The 21861-nt window shown below is 36.9% G+C and overlaps 1 protein-coding gene across 7 annotated transcripts in view; it reads left to right on the top strand.

Annotated features, from left to right (window-relative positions):
* LIFR (LIF receptor subunit alpha) overlaps window positions 1–21861 on the top strand; it is a 133736-nt gene that overhangs the window by 81711 nt on the left and 30164 nt on the right. For all 7 annotated transcript variants that reach the window (XM_017009463.2, NM_002310.6, XM_047417172.1 and 4 more), the window contains 5 exons: window positions 3111–3274; window positions 14729–14903; window positions 15975–16229; window positions 20061–20190; window positions 20619–20788. In XM_017009463.2, the coding sequence (XP_016864952.1) occupies window positions 3111–3274; window positions 14729–14903; window positions 15975–16229; window positions 20061–20190; window positions 20619–20788 (894 nt within the window). The remainder of the gene's footprint in view (window positions 1–3110; window positions 3275–14728; window positions 14904–15974; window positions 16230–20060; window positions 20191–20618; window positions 20789–21861) is intronic.

Genomic DNA, 21861 nt, shown 5'->3' with positions numbered 1-21861 from the left:
GTATTGGGATAAGAAAATTGAAAAGCAAATTAGGTGAGTGTAAGGAACGGAGGAGATGGATACATCAGCAAATCTTTGAGCACCTACTGTGTGCAAGAGAAGCTCTGCAATGCATGTATAGCTGTCCTTTAGAGGATCTGGATCTCTTGACAATTTGCTACTAAATAAAAGTATGAAAATTAAGTGTCTGTGGATCTAAAGATGCTTTCTAAATTATATAAAGCAAACAAGATTTTATATATATATATATACACACACACACACACACACACACACAGTAAAGTTTGTACTTACCATGTGTAAGCATGAAAAATTCTTCATAAGATTTTTAATTTCTGCATTTCTTAAAATCACCTGAAAATTTGGGTCATTCTGAAGCAGAATGTGGGTCCTGTAAAAAAAAGCTGGGAATACTCTTATCTTCTTATGTCCTAAGGAAGCAGGAGCACGTAGATTATGGGTAAAGCTGAATTAGCATTAGAAGAAAATAAAAAAGATTTTCATTAAATTTCTTCCCTATCTGAGTTTCTAGAAAGCAAGTTAACATTGTCCTCACATGTCTGTTTAGCACAAAGAAATGCAGATGGCAGTTAATGGGAGCTTAGGGGAAACTTCCCTATATGCTATAAAGAAAAGAAAGGGAGCAGTGGCTTTTTAAAATCCTTGTACTTGTAATTATGGCCATTACTGTCTTTAGCTTGAAATGTTGGATATTACTTGTATTTTTAAGAGTAGCCCACTGCTATTTAAATAAAATGTAAATTATGTGGACTTTTCAGGGAGGGAAGCATTTTAAAGATGAGCGTTGTCTTAGTAAAATACTCCCGTGTTTCATAAATTGTAAGTTACTACATCATGTGACATCCTGAATCATTTGAAAGAATAGCTGTGTTCTTGGAAGCCTCTTGCTCTTTTCTGGTCACACTGGCACCCTGAGCTTTCCCTGTCCTGGCACTAAATCAACTTCTTGCCTCTCGTTTGTCTGCATTTTTCCTTTTCCACAAGGAGCTGCCCACTTAAAACTTCTTTTTAAAGCATCCTCCACTGTCCTTATACAGCTGTGTAACTGTTGACTTTGCTCTGTAGTTTAGACTGTAAATCCACATGTTCTGTGTCCTGTACAGCCCTAAACACTTTACATAAATCCAGTGTTGAACACTGTATTGGCCAAATTTTAGTTAAACCTATTTTTAATAACTATTTTTAAGTTCCGAGATTAATGTGTATTGGTTTGTTCTGCCCTTTTTGTTATTTAGCATATTCAGCTACCCTAGCCCTGCACTGTCCTGCAGTTTTGGGCTTACCATGACTATATGTAATTGGTCCTTGAGCTTCTAGGATAGAAATGAGGCAAGAAAGGGTGAGTCTATGGATTTCTTCTAACTCACCTTTACTTTACTGTTATTTGAGGAGGAAACATGGAAGAAAGTCCAAGTCTCTCTGATTCTCAAACCAGAAAGTCTACATTTCATAGAATGGAACATGCTCATACCTTCTTTGTTTTCCATTGGTCCAAAATTTTCCATGATTTATCCGCCCTTAGGGAGAGTTAATGATTTTCAAGGATACATTACTCTTCCTGCTACCTTTTTTAGTGTCCTGGATTCTCCCTAGGAGATGCCCAAACCTTTGAGCATGGATTTTTTTCTCTTTTACCTTTTGTAATGCAGCTTCAGAGCCCACTGTTCTCCTAAACTTCTTTCTCAGATATTAACAGTAGCCTCGCCAGTGGTTTTTCCACAGTCTTCCTCTATAAACTGTTTTATTTGGCACAGGTAACAACTATTTGTTTTTATTTCGATGATCCTGGATTTTCTCTGGTTTCCTTCTGCTTCTAGGATTCCCTCTCTGGATTCATGTTGGTGTTTTTGGCTCCTTGAAGATGTAATTGTCTATTGGCAGCCCCTAAAAGGAGCTTTGGCTGGTTTATGTCTTTGTGTTCATGCTCTTTTCTACCACTACACTCAATCAGTTCCTTTTAAGTCTGCATCCACGTTCTGACTCCATGGTGTCTTCTTCCCCTGACCCTTACTCATCCATAGCCAGGCTTCTGTGTCTCTTCACAGTGATTCCCGATTCCTTTTGCTCCTCTTGCTGCTTTCTGAGCTAGAAACTTGAGAGAATATTGGTTGTTTCCCTTTTTCATTAGAACCAACCGTTTATTTCTTTGATGTAGTCATTTCTTTGAAATATCCATGACATCTTTTCCATAGATGGCATCTTAGTTTATATCCTTGTCACTCTAGCCAGGATTGCTCCAGTGGTCTCCTAATTGGTCACCTTATCCCCTGTCTCAATCCCCCGCAGTCTGTGTTGCATACTACTGATAAAGGAACCTTTCTGACACACTTCTTATATCCTGCTACTTCTGCACAGTAACCACTGGCTTCTTAACTCAATGCCTTAGTCACTGAGACAATCCTGCTACTGTTTAATGGTATTGAAAATCAGTAATGCCCATAGCATTTCTCAAGTGGGTGACATCCCCCAGCACGAGAGACTCTTGACACCAGGAGATGCCTGAGACAGCTGCAGAGAAAACAGAGAGAAGCCTTTACCAAAGGAAGCTTTCTATATTTTGTTATTTTCTTAGGGCTGCCCTACAGCCATACAGAGGAAACTCGTTTTCTTCTCTCTGATGTTGCCTACCTGTAGGTTCCTGACTAAATGACACTAGAGTACTGTGGAAACCTAGTTGCTGTTTGTATTAGAAAATGTGCTGTGGATTTGAAACAGCCAGCTAATAAATAATTTTCTTAAATTTGGCTGATGAAGCATTGGGAGCTGCCTCTACAAATAAATAATATATATGTTCCCCTTTTTCAGAAATTTGAGAGAATATTAGTCGTTTCCCTTTCTCATTAGAACCAACCCTTCATTTCTTTGATCCAGTCATTTCTTTGAAATATCCATGACATTTTATCTTTTCCATATATGGCATCTCAGTCCATGTCCTTATTACTGGGTTCTAGAGTTTCCTTTTAAATCTTGATTATTGATTTTTTGATCAAGAAGGAATAGAGTTTATAAGTAGTTGATTAGTGGAGTTACAGTATGAAAAATCATTACTTATTTTACTAAGTTTTCTCTTTTGTTTCCTCTTTTTAAAGCCTTAATTCCAGATACTCCAGAGATCTTGAATTTGTCTGCTGATTTCTCAACCTCTACATTATACCTAAAGTGGAACGACAGGGGTTCAGTTTTTCCACACCGCTCAAATGTTATCTGGGAAATTAAAGTTCTACGTAAAGAGAGTATGGAGCTCGTAAAATTAGTAAGTTTGAACATAGATTTTCTTCCTATGACATTAAAGAAACTGAATAATTTTTTTTAAGAAGCCTTAAGGTGGTATCAGTGAACTTTTGGATTATTTAGGAAGTAAATCAGATACCTTTCAGGGTTCATTAAAAACATCATGCATGATTTAAAAATCACTTGTTAATTATTAAATGATGTGTAACCATTACAGATAGCATAGGAAATTAGGGGAGAAATAAGCCGTGATTCTACCACTTGAAAATAGTAAGTACTGTTTTTGTGTATTCCTGTCTGGACTTGTTTATATGCATGTTTTTATGTAAATGAAAGTGCACATTTAATTTAGTGTATTATTTTACCTTTGTCTAATGTTTTGAAGCATGTTTAGCCAGAACTTAGCCATAGAGAATTTTTTTTTATAAATCTATAAGCTTGAATTTATCAGTACATGCTTTTTCCCTCTCTCGTTTTTTCATTCCTGTTTATGAATGGCCTCTAAGGAGTAATGAACAACATTTATGAAAAGTTTGACAGCTGTTACCTGGAAATGCTCCCTTTCAGCCTTTTACTCTTTTTCTTGATAGATTTGGAGTTTGCTTAGTTACAGGTTTAAGAATTAGAAGACCATCTCATGATTTTACAGTTTATTTGTTCAAGTTGCTCAAGTACATAGATAAAATAGTAAAGATAATAAAAAAGATTATTCTATATTTCATACTTTCTTATTGTTTCTCTTTGACAACCCATGTATTTCATTCCTAAAATAACAATAGTCAGCTAGCACCTAGCCTATATGGGACAATAGCCTATTGCTTCTAGGCCACATACAAACCTGCATGGCATGTTACTGTACTGAATAATGGAGGCAATTGTAATATATTGGTAAGTATTTCTGTATCTAAATATAGAAAAGATATGTAAAAATATGGTATAGAAGACTTTAAATGGAGGAGGGACTTCAAGATGGCTGACTAGAGGCACCTCGTACTCAACTTCTCTACAAAGAAGAACCAAGATAGGGAATAGTAGATCTTCACACTTCAAATAGATCATCCTAGAGAGAGCATCGGGATTCAAGAGAAGTGACAGGAAGCACCTAAAGCAGGGAAGGAAGAGGAAAGTGAGGCAGCCAGCAGAACACCAGCAGTGGCTCCACTGCTAAAGTGCATTCCATGTGCCCAGAGTCCCCTGCCTGCAACTGCTGAAGCACAAGTGGGGCGTGATGTGCCACCACTAAGGCTGAAGCGTGAGTGAAGCGCAGACTACAGCTACTGAGACTAGAATGCAAATTGTGCGTTCCCCACTTGCATGCCTATGGCTACCATTGAAAGCAATCTCTTCCTCCTCAGTAGCAGGGCCGCAGCACAGCCACTGCTGCTGTCCACCTGAGCATTCTGGAGGGAGCATGGGGAACACCGCATGCCTGCCTACCACAGCTAGTGTCTACATGTACTACGAGAGGGCCTGAGGACAAGCCCACCCAGCTTTGTTCCCTTGCCCTGGTGCCAGAACTTACAGCCTATGGACCTAGGAATCACCTAGCCTAGTCTACCACCATCAGCACCTGAGCACCTCTTCTAGGGGCCTGAGATTAGGCCCACACACCCTGCTGCTACCACCACAGCTGGCACCTACTGCACATGCTACCTGCGGGCCTGAAGACTGGCCCACTCAGCACATTGTATCTACTGTCAGCACCAGAGTGCACTGCTCAAGACCCAGAGGGTTATCCTACCACTGCTACTGCCATCACCCACACCACACCTGCTGGCCAGGGGCCTGAGAACGTACCCAGCCCACCACTCTCAATACCAGCATCCAAGCAAGCCACCTGGACGCTCAAGAATTGGCCCCCTTGGACCCACTAACAATGGGGCCAGTGAATGCCATCCTGGGGTCCAAAGACAGGCATACTCGGCTTACCACTTCCACTGCCGGGACCCAAAGACTGGACCACTTACGCCACTCTTATTCAACAATAGTACTGGAAGTCCTAGCCAGAGCAGTCGGGCAAGAGAGAAAATAAAAGGGATCCAAATTGGGAAAGAGAGAGTCAAATTGTCCCTCTTTGCTGGTGATATAATCTTGTATCTAGAAAAGTGTAAAGACTCCCCCAAAAAACTTAGATCTGTAAATAAAGTTAGTAAAGTTGCAGGAGGTAAAATCAATATAGAAAAATGAGAAGTGTTTCTATATGCTAATAATGAACTGGCTGAAAAATCAAGAAAGCCATCCCATTTACAATAGCTACAGAAAAATAAAGTACCTAGGAATAAATTTAACCAAGTAGTTGGAAGATCTCTATAAGGAAAACTACAAAACTGATGAAAGAAATTGAAGAGGACACAAAGACATTCCATGCTTACAGATTGGAAGAATTAATATCATTAACAGGACCAAACTGCCCAAAGCAATCTGCACATTTAGATTCAATGCATTCCCTACAAAAATGCCAATGTCATTTTCCACAGAAATAGAAAAAACAATCCTAAAATTTGTATGAAGTCAAAAGAAACCCAAATAGCTGAAGCAGTCCTGAGTAAAAGAACAAACTTGGAGACATCACACTACTCAACTTCAAAATATATTAAAAGGTTATCTATAGTAATCAAAACAGCATGTTACTTGTATAAAAACAGATACATAGACCAGTGGAACAGAGTAGAGAATCCAGAAATAACTATGTTTTTATAGCAAACTTATCTTTGACAAAGGTACCAAGAACATACATAGTTGGGGAAAGGATATCATCTTCAATAAATGGTACTGGGAAAATTGGATATTCATATGCAGAAGAATGAAACTGGATCTCTGTCTCTCATATACAAAAATCAACTCAAGATAGATGAAAGACTTAAACATAAGACTGAAACTATAAAACATGGGGAAAATACTATAGGACATTGGTCCAGGTAAAGATTTTATGGCTAAAACTGCAAAAGCACAGACAGCAGAAGCAAAAATAGATTATATTAAACTAAAAAGCTTCTGCACAACAGTGGAAACAGTGGAGTGAAGAGACGGTTGAATGGGAGAAAACATTTCCAAACTATTCATCCAACAAAGGACGAATATCCAGAACCTACCGTGAACTAAAACAACTCAACAATTAAAAAATTAATACTCCCATTGTAATGTGGGCAAAGGACATGAATAGACATTTCTCAAAAGAAGACATATGGACAACAGGTGTATGAAAAAATGCTCAATATCACTACTTACCAGGGAAATACAAATTAAAACCACAATCAAATCAGCTCACCTCTATTAGAATGGCTATTATTAAAAAGACAAAAAAAACTTATATATTGGTGAGGATGTGGAGCATGGGAAGCTCTTATACAATGCGACTGGGAATGTAAATTAGTACAACTACTATGGAAATCGGTATGGAGATTTCTCAAAAAACTAAAAAGAGAACTCCTATAGGATCCAGCAGTCCCACTTCTGGGTATCTGTCCAAAGGAAAATAAATCAGTGTATTAAAGGGTTACCTGAATTCACATGTTTATCATGCCACTATTCACAATAGAAAATATGTGGAATCAACCTAAGTGTCCAGTAGATGAGTGGATAAAGAAAATGTGATATATACACACAATGGAATTCTGTTTGGCCATAAAAAAGAATGAAATCATGTCATCTTCAGCAACCAGGATGGAACTGGAGGCCACTACGCTAAGCGAAATAAGCCAGGCACAGAAAGATAAATATAGTATGTTCTCACTCACTCATGGAGACTAAAAAAGCTGATCTCATGGAGGTAAAGATATTATTAGTAACAGAATGATAGATACTAGAGACTGAGAAGGGTGTGTTGGTGGGACGGGGCAGGAAGAGAGGTTGGTGAATGGGTACAAATGTACAGTTAGATAGAAGATATAAGTTCTGTGTTAGATAGTCAAGTAGGGTGACTGTAGTTAGCATCCATGTATTATATATTTCAAGGTAGCTAGAAGACTTGAAATGTTCCCAACACAGAAATGATAATACTCATGAGATAATGGATACCCCAAATACCCTGACTTGATCATTACACATTCTGTGCATGTAACCAATACTCACATGTATCCCATAAATACTATGTATCAATAAAATGTTTAAAGAGATAAAAAATGGTACACCTGTATAAGGCACTTACCGTGAATGGAGCTTGCAGGACTAAAAGTTTCTCTGGGTGAGTCAGTGAGTGAATTGAGGGCCTAGGACATGACTATTCACCACTGTAGTCTACATGGTACAATTAGACCACACTAAACTTATAAAACTTTTTATCTTTCTTTGGTAATAAATTAACCTTAGCTTACTGTAACTTTTTTACTTCAGAACTTTTAATTTTTAAAAAATATTTTGACTCTTTTGTATTAACACTTAGCTTAAAACAAACACATAGTACAGCTGTACAAAAATATTTTTATATCCTTACTCTACAAGCTTTTTTGTATTTTTAAAAATTATTTTTCTTTAACTTTGTAAACTTTTTTGTTAAAAACAAGGACAAAAACACACACGTTAGCCTAGGCCTACGCAGGGCCAGGATCATCAGTATAACAGTCTGCCACCTCCACATCTTGTCCCACTGGAAGGTCTTCGGGGCAGTAACATGCATGGAGCTGTCATCTCCTCTGGTAACCATGCCTTCTTCTGGAATACCTCCTGAAGGACCTGCCTGAGGCTGTTTTACAGTTAACTTTTAAAAACATGTAGAAGGAGTACCCTCAAAAATAATGATAGAAAGTGTAGTACACTAAATACATACACCAGTAACATAGTCATTTATTATCATTATCAAGTATTATGTACAGAGCACAATTATATGTGTTATACTCTTATACCAGCAGCACAGTATGTTTGTTATTCCAGCATCACCACAGACACATGAGTAATACGTTGCACTATGACATTATGTTGGCTATGATGTCACTTGGTAATAGGAATTTTTCAGCTCCATTATAATCTTATAGGATCACCATGGTATATGTGGTCCCACATTGACTGAAGTATTGTTATATAGCACATTACTGTATACCTTGATTCTTTTTATCCTCACAACAGTCCCAGGAGGGTGATACTATTATTATTCCCATTTTACAGATGATACAGAGTCACAGGAAGACTTTAAGTGGTGGAGTCAGGATTCCAACCCAGGCAGCTTGGTTTCAGAGTCTGCTCTTAACTGCTACAATTTATATTTTATAAGAAATATATATATTTTAATTTAAAATGTCCTCCCCTTCTCACGTATCCTACTCGAACCTGCATTTCAAGACCCAGGTCAAATCCTACTCCTTATTTTATTTTATTTTATTCATTTGTTTTTAGAGATAGGGTTCTGCTCTGTCAACTTGGCTGGAGTACAGTGGCATGATCATATAGCTGACTGCAGCCTCAAACTCCTAAGGGATACTTTTGCCTCAGTGTCCTGAGTAGCTGGGGCTACAGGTGCATGCTGCTGTGCCCAGCTGTTTTTTTTTGTTTGTTTTTTTTTTTTTCATAGAGATGGGGTCTCACTTTTTTGCCCCATCTGCCTACTTCTTATTTTAAAGCCCATCCTTTTTTTTTTTTTTTTTTTTTTTTTGAGACAGTGTCTTGCTCTGTTGCACATGCTGGAGTGCAGTGGCATGATCTCGGCTCACTGCAACCTCCAAATCCCGGGTTCAAGCTATTCTCTTGCTTCAGCCTCCCCAGTAGCTGGGACTACAGGCACATGCCACCACGCCCGACTAACTTTTTGTATTTTTAGTGGAGATGGGGTTTCACCGTGTTAGCCAGGATGGTCTCGATCTCTTGACCTTGTAATCTGGCCACCTCGGCCTCCCAAAGTGCTGGGATTACAGGCATGAGCCACCGCGCCCAGCCTTAAAGCCCATCTTAATTCAGCCTGCAGACTCTCACTTTTCTTGATTCTAATGGCAAGTCTTGTCTGTTAATCTAATTTGCAGCTAGCTTTGATACAGTTCTGCAGGTGCTGTCTTAAAGGTATTATTTATTTAAATTATATTGCTTAACTTGTCATTATGGCCTAACATTTTGCATTCTGGGTTACCACTTACAGGCTTAGGATAACTCCTCAAACCTAGTTTGTATCTTTTGTAAAGTGGCAATATTTGCTCTGGGGTCTGCAAAGTAAATAGTATATCTGTAAAGCTGCTAAACAAATATTATTTGTCACTACTCCCTTTAGGGACAAGGCTTTTTATTTTTTTATTTATTAAATTTTATAATTTTTTATTACACTTTAAATTCTGGGATACATGTACAAACCTGAAGGTTTGTTACATAGGTGTATACGTGCCATGGTGGTTTGCTGCACTCATCAATCCATCATCTACATTCGGTATTTCTCCTAATGCTATCCTTTCCCTAGCCCCCCATCCCTGACAGGCCCCGATGTGTGATGTCCCCCTCCCTGTGTCCGTGTGTTCTCATTGTTCAACTCCCACTTATAAGTGAGAACATGCGGTGTTTGGTTTTCTGTTCCTGTGTTAGTTTGCTGAGAATGATGGCTTCCAACTTCATTCATGTCCCTGCAAAGGACATGAACTCATCCTTTTTTATGGCTGCATAGTACTCCATGGTGTGTATGTGCCACATTTTCTTCATCCAGTCTATCATTGATGGGTGTTTGGGTGGGTTCCAAGTCTTTGCTGTTGTGAATAGTGCTGCAGTAAACCTATGTGTGCATGTGTCTTTATAGTAGAATGATTTATAATCCTTTGGGTATATAGCCAGTAATGGGATGGCTGGGTCAAATGGTATTTCTGCTTCTAAATCCTTGAGGAATTGCCACACTGTCCTCCACAGTGGTTGAACTAATTCACACTCCCACCAACAGTGTAAAAGCATTCCTATTTCTCCACATCCTCTCCAACATCTGTTGTTTCCTGTCTTTTTAATGATCGCCATTCTAACTGGCATGAGATGGTATCTCATTGTGGTTTTGATTTGCATTTCTCTAATGACCAGTGATGATGACCTTTTTGTTCTTGGCCACATAAATGTCTTCTTTTGAGAAGTGTCTGTGCATATCGTTTGCCCGCTTTTTTGATGGGGTTGTTTGATTTTTTTCTTGTAAATTTGTTTAAGTTCCTTGTAGATTCTGGATATTAGCCCTTTGTCAGATGGATAGGGACGAGGCTTTTTTAATTTTTAATGTAACTTGAGGAGGAACTAACTAGAGAATACTAGAATTAAAGAGGGACACTCTGAAATGTGAGTGAAATCAAACTTAAATGAAGGGACTGTTAGGCTAAAACCATATAGCTCATTCTACAACATGTGTAAGTCAGCCAATGACAAGGCAGTAATTCCTTACTTTTGGGAAAAAATTTGGGAAAATAATAGCAAGAAGCAATGAGAAAGAACACATTTCTTTAGAACTGTAAAGTAAGGGAAAATGCCTCAGGGCATTTTTATTAATAGTACGTTATTAATGTCAGTATTTAAGACAAAATTGCTTGTGATCAGTCATTTTATGATATCCTATTATTTTGCACTAATGCTATTATTTTATAATAATTTAAAAATCAAGAACACTTTGCATTCATGTTTCATTTGTGAGGCACTTGTCTGTCTGTGGTCTCTGTGTCCAGCAGTGGGAGCTGTGTGCTGCACACACTGGGAAGAGCTCACCAGGCACTGCTCCCCCACACACAAATACTCCTCCTTGACTTTCCCTGGAAACGACCTGTTTCAACTCTTTTAACTGATCTCTTTCATTATTTATCTTCATTTCTCCAAATAACATGCTTATGTTGCTATTTCTTGATAGCAACCCCCTCCCTTTCCTCCTCTCCCCCCACCGCCTCATTTCTCTCTGCTCCTCCCTCTCCCTCCTTCTCCCCGCAGCCTGCCATTTTCCTAGCTTTTTCCAATAGAGTCTATGATAATTTTTGGTAGAACAGTATTCATCATTTGTATTATGGTCTATAAAAAAATCCACAATTTTTTGTACACTCCTTATATTATCTTGTTTTTTTGTGTTTATTTCTCTGCTTCATTACTTTAATCCTAAATTCTTTGCAGGCTGTGTAGATCTCCTTGGAATTTTCAAATATACTAAGTACTTTATCAATTTTATCTTTGCGAATAAATCTCTGAGGGCTTTCTGGCTGGCTTCCCAACCTTATTCACAGAAGGCTCACATAGACACTGATAATATTTGTATAGCACAGAGTGTGGTAAATAGCCGAGACCGCTTGTGGCCAGAGGCATCACAGAGGCTCCAGTAGCCCCAACCCCTACCAAGCAGTTCTAGGTTTGAATGGATTAATACCTAGATATATTTATAACTCACTCAAGATAGACTTCAGTGTCTTTCAGCACATTTCTTAGGAAGCTGTGGTCCAAGGGATCTCCATCATCTAGGGTATTTCCTACAACTTTGTCTTATGATGGATCTTCTTTTTGCCAAATCTCCAGTCGTTCTCTTATTTCCTCATTTTTGTGGAAGCATTTGCACTTGTCCCTTGGTATCTTTTGGGGGATTGCTTCCAGGACCTCCCTTAGATACCAGAATTCAAAGATGCTCGGTAGCGTTAGCATACAACCTACGGGCATCCTCCTGTATATTTTAAACCCTCTTTAGATTATTTGTAACACCTAATACAATGTAAGTGTTGTGTAAATAGTAGTTATACTGTATTGTCTAAGGAATAAGGACAAGAAGTGTCTGCACATGTTTAGCACAGATGCAAATTTTTTTCCAAGTATTTTTGATCCATAGTTGGTTGACCTCACAGATGTGGAGCGATGAATAGAGGGAGCCAACTGTCAGTAGTTATTTGCTATTGTAGATATTCTCTGCTATCTATAATAGCTAGCTTGCAAATATAATTTGTTCTTTTAATTTAATTATTTAAAAATTTAAAAGCTTGTCAATTACTATTACTGAGAAGTTGTAGAGGAACTGGAACTTTCATACGTTACTGGGCAGAGTGTAAAATGCTTACCAAAGGAATACATGGAGATACCACATTTATGAAAATGTCTATTCTGCACTCGTGCGTGATTACTAGTTTAACTGGGTGTAGAATTACAGGTTGGGAAATTTTGTCAAGATTTTGAAGGTATGATTCCATTGTTTCTTAGTGTGGATCAATCTTTATCTGTTCTTCTGGACACTCATTGGGCCCCTGTCAGTCTAAAAACACATGTGTGTCAGCTTGGGAATTTCTTGTTTTATTTCTTTGATTTGTCCTTCTCTGTCTTCTCCTTTTTTTTGAGAACTTCTGTTCTTCATGAACCTTCCACAACAATCCTCTAATTGTTTTTATCTTTCTTGTTTTCTATGTATTTTCTATTTTCTCAGAAATTTTTTCTAAACTGGATTTTGCATCCTGCTATTGAATTTCTATTCATATGTTTATTAATTTATAGAAGATCCTTTCTTTGAAAGGATTTATGTTATTTTTTTAATGTATCCAGTTTTTGTTTCATGATGCAATGTCTTATCTCTGAGGATAGTAATGATTTAAAGTTTTTTTCTACATGCCCTGTTTCCTCACATTTTTTCTTTTTCTTTTCTTTTCAATTATTGACTTTCGTATTAGAATTTCTTGTACACTTTCTGGTCATCCTGGTTGCTGCTCACAGTTAAGCGAGGGGCTGTTAAAAATTTTTTTTTAATCTAATTGGAACTTTGGTTTCTCTGGATAGGACTTGTTGATGGGGGCCTTCCCTCTAGAGTGATGAGGATGGGCTATGCAGGTGGCAAACGCCAAATATTATTTTAGGTATTTCATTTTGACATGTTTATGTGACTCAGAAAAGTTCATTTAGACTATTACCTGGTGAGGATTAGTCTGGCAAACCAGTATCCTGGGAGCTGAGCAGAGGAAGAAGGCATAGGTTAGCAATCCCCCTGTTTTTGGAATGATAGTCCCCATTCTCATCTCTTCCTAAAATTCTTCAATCCAAAGATATTCTGTTTTACTTTTCCAGAACATAAATCTTTATTCTTCTGCCAAGGTAAACAAAGGTAGTCCTTCGGTAGTGTGGAGTGTGGGAAGGGATCTGGGTAGCCAACATATCTTCAAACAACTTTCAAGCAGTCCTGCTGTTTTGAGCTCTTTATTTCCAGGGGAGCCTGGGATAGCCACTCACTGAGCCCTTTGGCATTTCTGTGATAGAAACAAGCTGTTTTCCTGTATTTCCCATTGGATGCTTAAGATTTTGTTTTCTCAGGTCTTCTACATCAGTTACCATTATCCATCTGCTTTCCAGCTTCCAGATTTTAGTGATGTTGCTTTATTTCTATATTTTGTCTTTGTCCATTCACACCTTTAAAAAAAATCTGTTTACTCTTTGGAGTGATTTCAGGAGGTAAGGGAGAAGGAAATAGTTGTTTAATCTATTGTGTTTGCCTAGAAGTCCCAAGTTATCTTTTATAGCACCTCAATATTTTATTGAAATCTTGCTCATTTCTCACAATTAATAATAATTTGTATTAGTATAACTTACATATTTAATCTTCTATTTAAAAATAAAAGCAACTATATAGAATACTTATATAAAAAACAAATCTAGTCTAAAACTATTTTATTGAAATGCTGCCCCTCTCCTTGACTTAAGCTTTTGAAAGTGCAACCCCATTAATTACTTCTACTCTATGAAAAATTTAGATCATTAGGCAGTGGTATACAGGTTGAGCATCCCTAATCTGAAAATCCAAAACTCAAAATGTTTTAAAATTCAAAACTTTTTGAGCACCACCATGATGCTCAAAGGAAATGCTCACTGGAGCATTTCAGACTTGGGATTTTTGTTATTTTATTTATTTATTTTTTGTTGTTTTTAGACAGGATATCATTCTGCCACCCAGGCTGGAGTGCAGTTGCATGATCTCAGCTCACTGCAGCCTTGACTTTCCAGGCTCAATAGACCCTCCCACCTCAGCCTCCTGAGTTGCTGGGACTACAGGCACAAGCCAGCATGCCTGGCTAATTTTATTTTTTTATTTTTTATTTTTTTATTTTTTTGTAGAGATGGGGTTTCGCCGTATTGTCCAGGCTGGTCTTGTACTCCTGGGCTCAAGGGATCTGCCTGTCTCAGCCTCCCAAAGTGCTGGGTAAATTACAGGTGTGAGCCACTGTCCAGGCAGATTTTAGATTTTTAGATTAGAGATGCTCATCTGAGAAGTATATAATGCAATCTGAAAAGGTGCAAAATCCAACACACTTGTGGTCCCAAGGGATACTCAACCTGCATTTTCTTGCATACCAAATTGAATGTTTCAATGAATAGCAACATCTTATATAATACATTAGGGCCTAAAGTTGAAGAAGTAAACAAATGAATCATGATTATTGTTACTCTGCTATTATACCTTACACAAAACTGAGTTGTATTAAAGGACAAAACATAAACTTAGCTGATGATTGTATGGAATCTATTGTGTCTTTTAATTCTAAAGGAAAGCAAAACATATTGCTACTTGGAAATACAGTTTTGTGTTTGTGTTCATTTTTAGGTGACCCACAACACAACTCTGAATGGCAAAGATACACTTCATCACTGGAGTTGGGCCTCAGATATGCCCTTGGAATGTGCCATTCATTTTGTGGAAATTAGATGCTACATTGACAATCTTCATTTTTCTGGTCTCGAAGAGTGGAGTGACTGGAGCCCTGTGAAGAACATTTCTTGTAAGCTTATATTTAAAGAATGTTTGTTTCAGATGAATTAAATTAGTCTCACTTAAGAGTAAGATTTAGTTTGAGCTTTCACTTCTCATAACCTCATTCAGCTGCATGAGGATTACCTGGGAGCGTCTAAGCCCACCATCCCTGGAGATTTTGATCAAAAAGTCTGAGATAGGCTTCAGGAATCTGTATTTTGAAAGAACTTTCTGAGTGGTTGGATAAACATCCAGGTTTGAAAATCACTGTCATAGGAATTGAAGAGCATTAAAAATTGTGTGTAGATGATACTGAGATGAAATCTATGTTTAAAAAAAAAAAACAAAACAGTTCCCAATTTCTGGCTCACAGAGCAGACCCCTAGAGGCTGCATAGTTATTGCCAGGAACACGGGGATCTGCAAGCATACCAAAAAGCATCCGTACATTAAGTAAAACTCATATACAGGGAGAATGTTGGCAGTTTCGAATAGGGGGCCTGGAAAATTGTTGACCATAAAATGAAATCCTGAAAGGCTGGTAGTCATTGTAGAGATAGATCACTCTATGGATAAAAGGATTAGAGGAAGGAAGGGGACTAGATTAAAGTAAGTTGTTTTTTAGGGTGTGGAGTACTTGGGCATATATTTAGGCTGATGGAAAGTAAGACATATGCCCTAAATACATTGAATAAAAGGAATGGAATTATTTAATTAGTGATTTTTGGGGGGTGTGGATTGTTCACATGTATATATAAACCCACTGAATTTCAACCCTTAGACTTCTTAGACATAAACCTGTGGCATTAACTTTAGACACTGACCTGTAATCTGCTTCTGCTTCCTCACCATTATCCCTTCATAAGTAAATAAAACCACATACACTTTTAAAAAATTTATCGTATATATCTTGCTCCTACAAAACCTGTGGAACACACCTTATCTTTGGACCATTATCATTACAAAGCACCTAACAGTTTGTAGTGTATATACTGGGCTATTTTAAAAGTCATCTTATGAAAAGAAAGTCTTAAAATGCAGAAAAGTTTATGTAAAATACTTCTATATAAAATGTTTATAATTCCTCTTTTTCTTTCTAGGGATACCTGATTCTCAGACTAAGGTTTTTCCTCAAGATAAAGTGATACTTGTAGGCTCAGACATAACATTTTGTTGTGTGAGTCAAGAAAAAGTGTTATCAGCACTGATTGGCCATACAAACTGCCCCTTGATCCATCTTGATGGGGAAAATGTTGCAATCAAGATTCGTAATATTTCTGTTTCTGCAAGTAGTGGAACAAATGTAGTTTTTACAACCGAAGATAACATATTTGGAACCGTTATTTTTGCTGGATGTAAGTATATGATTTTAAAGAGAGAATTCCTATTAACCTGTTTTGGTCTTCCTTGAAAGCCTTAATTCTTCTGGAGTGGGGGGGTGGGAGGAGTGATTCTGTTTCTTTCTCATTTCTTTGTTCTTTAATATAAAGGCTATACAAAGGCACTAGAATATTTGCTTGTTTTAAAATGAATTGCAAGCTTGTTTTCCACATAACCTGTATCTGTGTAATTTGTTGGTTTTGTAATCAGATTTGAAACATCTAGCTTCTAATGTTTAGTTTAAATTCTTAGTTAACAGCTTTGTTAAGGATAGGATATAATATTTCTTAACCCTGCATTGTTTAGAAATTATGTGAATTCATTTTCCAGTTAAAGTATACCTTTTTTAAAGTATCTAAATTAAAGAAATTATAGCAATTTTACACAAAATCTTTCAGTAGCATAACATATCTTCTCCATCTTTTAACTATTATATTTGAGGAGAACAGGCTGGCAGGAGGACATGGGTGAGGGGAAACATACTCTCCCACTGCGTTCTATATATGTTGTATGCTCTGTCATTCAAGGTGTCTATTAACATGATCACCCCACAGTCTAAAATTCCATGGTATTTCCAAAAGTAGTTTGTTGTGGGCTGCCCTGCCCATGTGGCTTGTGTTGAATGTCCACAGATAAATATGTAGAATTTTTAGGTCTCAATTTTAGTTTTTCTGCCTCCCTTCCTTGTAGCAACTGTAATGTTTTGGTGTCACTGACAGCTTCATCTTTATCAGTGAGTCCCTTCCTCCCTTTATGCTGAATTAGAAGTCTGGGATTTTGGTCTAAAGGTCGCCTGAATAATGTGTATAAGATAGATTGACTAGATTTTATGATATTTCTTTTGATTCCTTAGTGCTTTTTCTTTCTTTCTTTTTATGATTCTCAGCTGTGGTCTAGATCAGCAGCTCTCTCGTTTACTCATACAGTACTTCGTGATGAATTTCATTCAGATACTGATGTATTCCCAAAGGAATAGCCGGGTTTAGGTGCTCGTCTCAGCTTGATGGCTGTAATCTGACTCTCTTTTTGTCTGCTCAGTAATGCATTTGGAATTCAAGTGAAAGTGAGGTTATGTTCAAATTTAAATCCTGGAAATCATATTATCCTTCTTAATGGAATGTTAGGAAATTACTTGCAACATTTCTCACAAATAGTCCTGGAGTCTAAGTTGAGACCCAGTGGTATATGTAGTGAAGTTGCTTCGTGAGCAGTACCAAAAGTGAGCTATTACTTAAAAGTATGAAAGAAGAAATTAAAACTTAAAAAATGAGACTGTGCACTGTTTCCATTTGTGTTATTTCAGACAGTGTTGTAATCTTTTATCATAGTAATAGAACAAGCTAATTTATAGTTTAACCTTCATTTATAACGTTTGGAGGTTGAAATATTGTACAATATTTGTTGAGCAGCAGTAACATCTCCCTTCAGAGAGAACTTTTAGGAAATTTATAAGAGCAGGTTATTTCGTGAGTTAGGTATCAGGATTCATTTATTTCCTTTCTTTATGGATATCCTGTTAAGCCACCATTTACGGAAAAGACTGAAAAGAAATTTAGGCCGGGTGTGGTGGCTTACGCCTGTAATCCCAGCGCTTTGGGAGGCTGAGGCGGGCGGATCACGAGGTCAGGAGATCGAGACCATCCTGGCTAACACGGTGAAACCCTGTCTCTATTAAAAAAAGAAAATACAAAAAAATTAGCTGGGCATGGTGGCAGGCGCCTGTGGTCTCAGCTACTCGGGAAGCTGAGGCAGGAGAGTGGCATGAACCCAGGAGGCGGAGCTTGCAGTGAGCTGAGATCGCACCACTGCACTCCAGCCTGGGTGACAGAGCGAGACTCCGTCTCAAAAAAAAAAAAGAAAAAGAAATTTATAATCGGCTTGTTAGTTTTTCCCTACACACACGTCTGCGTGCACACACACCTACCCAATCAAAACCTGCTGGCGTTTTGATTGGGATTACATTAAATCCGTGGATCAATTTAGGAGAATTTTCATTCTTACAATATTTGTATCTCCCAAACTATGAACATGGTATATCCCTACATTTACTTGAGTCTTCTTTAATTCATCTTAATATGAGGTCTTTATGTCTTTTGGTAAATTTTTTCCTAGTGCTAGGTGTTTTCTGATATTATTAAAAATGACTTTGTTTTTTAAATTGCATTTTCTATTGACTGGTATATAAAAATGTAGTTGATGTATACCTAGCTTTTAACCTAGTAGCTTCAGTTGATTATTTTATAAGTTAATTTCTTTGAAAAGAAAATTAGTACATTTCAAATACTGTCCTCTCAAATTTTTCCCCTTCTGTCTGTCCTTCTATTTATCTCTTATTTGCTCTTGTTATTTAGATTTTAATATTTCAACTTAATATCTACCAAATCCTAAAATAACCAGCATTTTAAATATATTCCATATTTTTGGTATGTGGTTTTAATAGAGTGACTGAATATTTGGCCTTAGATTTAAAACAATTTTCAGAATAAATATGTCAATGTTTGTTTACTTATCTAATTGTTAAACTCTCATATAAACACTCATTAATCCTCTTAATGTTACCTGAAATATCATTGAAGGATGTTATCCTTATCTCTGGGGAAGGTATGAAATTTTCCAAGTTTTGGTTGATAAACTAAGGAGTATTTTTTTTTTAATTCAGATTTGTGAAAAAAAAATTTTACAGAATTTTTAAACAAGTAGTTTTTTTAAAAAAGAACTTTTACCTAAAGTGAAAGATAGTTTGGATAAATATGAGAGAGGAAATACCAGTTTCTATATGTGTATGGTTAAACATGATTACAGAAATATGAATTTCTACAATAAGCAGTGTCAGACTGCAGACTTTTAATTTATCACTTTTTTTTTTTTTTTTTTTGAGACGGAGTATCGCTCTGTCGCCCAGACCAGATTCCAGTGGCACAATCTGGGTTCAGTGCAGCCTCCACCTCCCAGGTTCAAGCGGTTCTCCTGCCTCAGCCTCCCGAATAGCTGAGACTTCAGGCACCCTCCACCACACCCGGCTAATTTTTGTATTTTTAGTGGAGACGGGGTTTCACCATGTTGGCCAGGCTGGTCTCAAACTCCTGACTTCAGGTGATTTGCCCACCTTGGCCTCCCAGAGTGCTGGGATTACAGATGTGAGCCACTGCACCTGGGCTCATTTATCACTTTGAAGGTCTCGTCTTAAAAAAAAAAAAAAAATTTCTTTTAATTTTTCTAGTCCTGCCTTAAAGCTGGGGAGAGCAGTTTTGATAAAGAGAAAAACAACAAAAGAGCCGCAGTCAGTTTGTATATACTGAGATGCAGAATTTTACCAAGAGTTTTCTAAACAACAGTACTTATAATGTATTTTAGAACTCTGAAACATGTAACATGACTTACTGATTTTCAATATGATTTGGTATTTCTTTTCGAATCACAGTATATTGATGATAGATGATAATACTTTTAACCTGTAGATTTCTCTGACAACATATTAGACTCAGGTTTCTTTGAGAGATTTGGTAGCCTCTGAAATAGGATTAAGGGAAAAAAAGTGACAACTGATATTTCAAGTTGCTACAGGGAGTTTCCAGATGAGCTAAGAGTCATTTTTCAGTATATTTTAATCTGTCAATTCTAATGTAATATGAACTCTGACAAGACATGCTACAGAGAGAATAATTCCTGCATTATTCAAAAGTAAAATGTAAATAGTAAATTATTTCATTTTTTAGGAAATTGTGGAAAACATTGACGTTTATAAAATATTATGTTTTCAGGGAAAATATATGTAATCATAAGTACCTGCATTTTTTTTCTGTTAGATCCACCAGATACTCCTCAACAACTGAATTGTGAGACACATGATTTAAAAGAAATTATATGTAGTTGGAATCCAGGAAGGGTGACAGCGTTGGTGGGCCCACGTGCTACAAGCTACACTTTAGTTGAAAGGTAATGATAACTGGGAAAAGATGTCAGATGGCAAGGAGTACGTTGGAAGTGCATGTTAAATGACATAGGGAACTGCACTAGATCATTTATGTTACAAACAAGATATAAAACCAAATATGCTGTATAAAATTACACTTATAAGCACTGCAGTTCAGCCACATGTACACTCAATTTTATGTCTCCTCTTTTAAGAAGCTTAGAATGAAGAACACTTGAACATGAACAGAGACTGTTTCTCGGTAGTAAACTTATGGCTGATTAATTTCTTCTATTTTCTGTATCACATACATTTTCTTCTCTGAGTATGTAATATGCTTCTAATTAGAAATTTAAACTTTTTATACAAATTAAGTATTACGAATTTGCCCGTTTTTTCCTGCAATATTTATCTCTTGCCATTTTGAAATTATTTTTCTGTTAATTAACAGTTTTTCAGGAAAATATGTTAGACTTAAAAGAGCTGAAGCACCTACAAACGAAAGCTATCAATTATTATTTCAAATGCTTCCAAATCAAGAAATATATAATTTTACTTTGAATGCTCACAATCCGCTGGGTCGATCACAATCAACAATTTTAGTTAATATAACTGAAAAAGGTAAGCTGTACATAAACTAATGTCTTAAAAATAACTTTAAAAGTGGTGAAATGCTTTAATGAAAAATGCTTATAGGGATTACTTTTTGCTGATTATTTTCTTTATAGTTACTTAATATTAATTTCATAAATTTTATTTATAAAAACTTTAAATGTATAATTTCAAGTTTTACTATTTTATTGAATTTAAATACTTGAATTAGTAATTTACTCTTTCTGATAATTTTTGATTTCTGAAATATCTTCTGCCCAATTTTTAAAAACTTTTATTTTGAAGTAATTGTTGACTCACTGGTAGTTACAATAATAAGAGCCTTGTGAACCCATCCCCTGGCTATTCCCAGTGGTGTCATCTTATATAATTCTAGTACAATATCAGAACCAGGGAATTGACACTCTTAAAACACTGTTAACTAGACTACTGACCTTGCTCAGTTTTTATGTGCATTCATTTGTACTCGTGTGTGTGTGTGTGTGTGTGTGTGTGTGTGTGTGTGTGTGTGTAGTTCTATGCAATTTATAGGTATAGATTCAGGTAACCACCACCACATGCAAGATACAGAACTGCCCTGTCACTACAAAGGAACTTGCTCATGTTGCCCTTCCAGCATCCCCTGTACATACAGTCACATCCCTGTGCCTTGACAACAACGAATCTATTCTTCATCTCTGTTTTATCAGTTTGAGATTGTTACATAAGTAAAATCATACAGTATGCAGTTTGGCATTTTTTTTTTTAAGGATGTCCTGGAGAGCCATCCATGTTGTTGTATGTATTAATAGTTCGTCCCTTTTATTACTGATTGCATTTTTACCAATCGTATTAATATATAGCTCCAAATAAAAATAAAATGTGCTTGGTCTTTTTGGTATTCATTCCCATGGTCCATGTGCATTAACACTCCATGTCAGGCTCACAGCACACTGAGCAACGGCCTAGACCTTCTCTTAGAGACTCAGGCAGGGGAGAAAGGGCCTAAACCGAAGGCATGTCTCATACAGTCTCACAGCTGATTAGTAGATGATCCTGTTGCCTTATTTGTAAGCATAAGTCACTTTTATCAGTTGTTCTTT

The sequence above is a fragment of the Homo sapiens genome, chromosome 5, assembly GCF_000001405.40.
Source record: "Homo sapiens chromosome 5, GRCh38.p14 Primary Assembly".
Lineage (NCBI taxonomy): Eukaryota > Metazoa > Chordata > Mammalia > Primates > Hominidae > Homo > Homo sapiens.
This window is presented reverse-complemented; position numbering and strand designations above follow the sequence as displayed.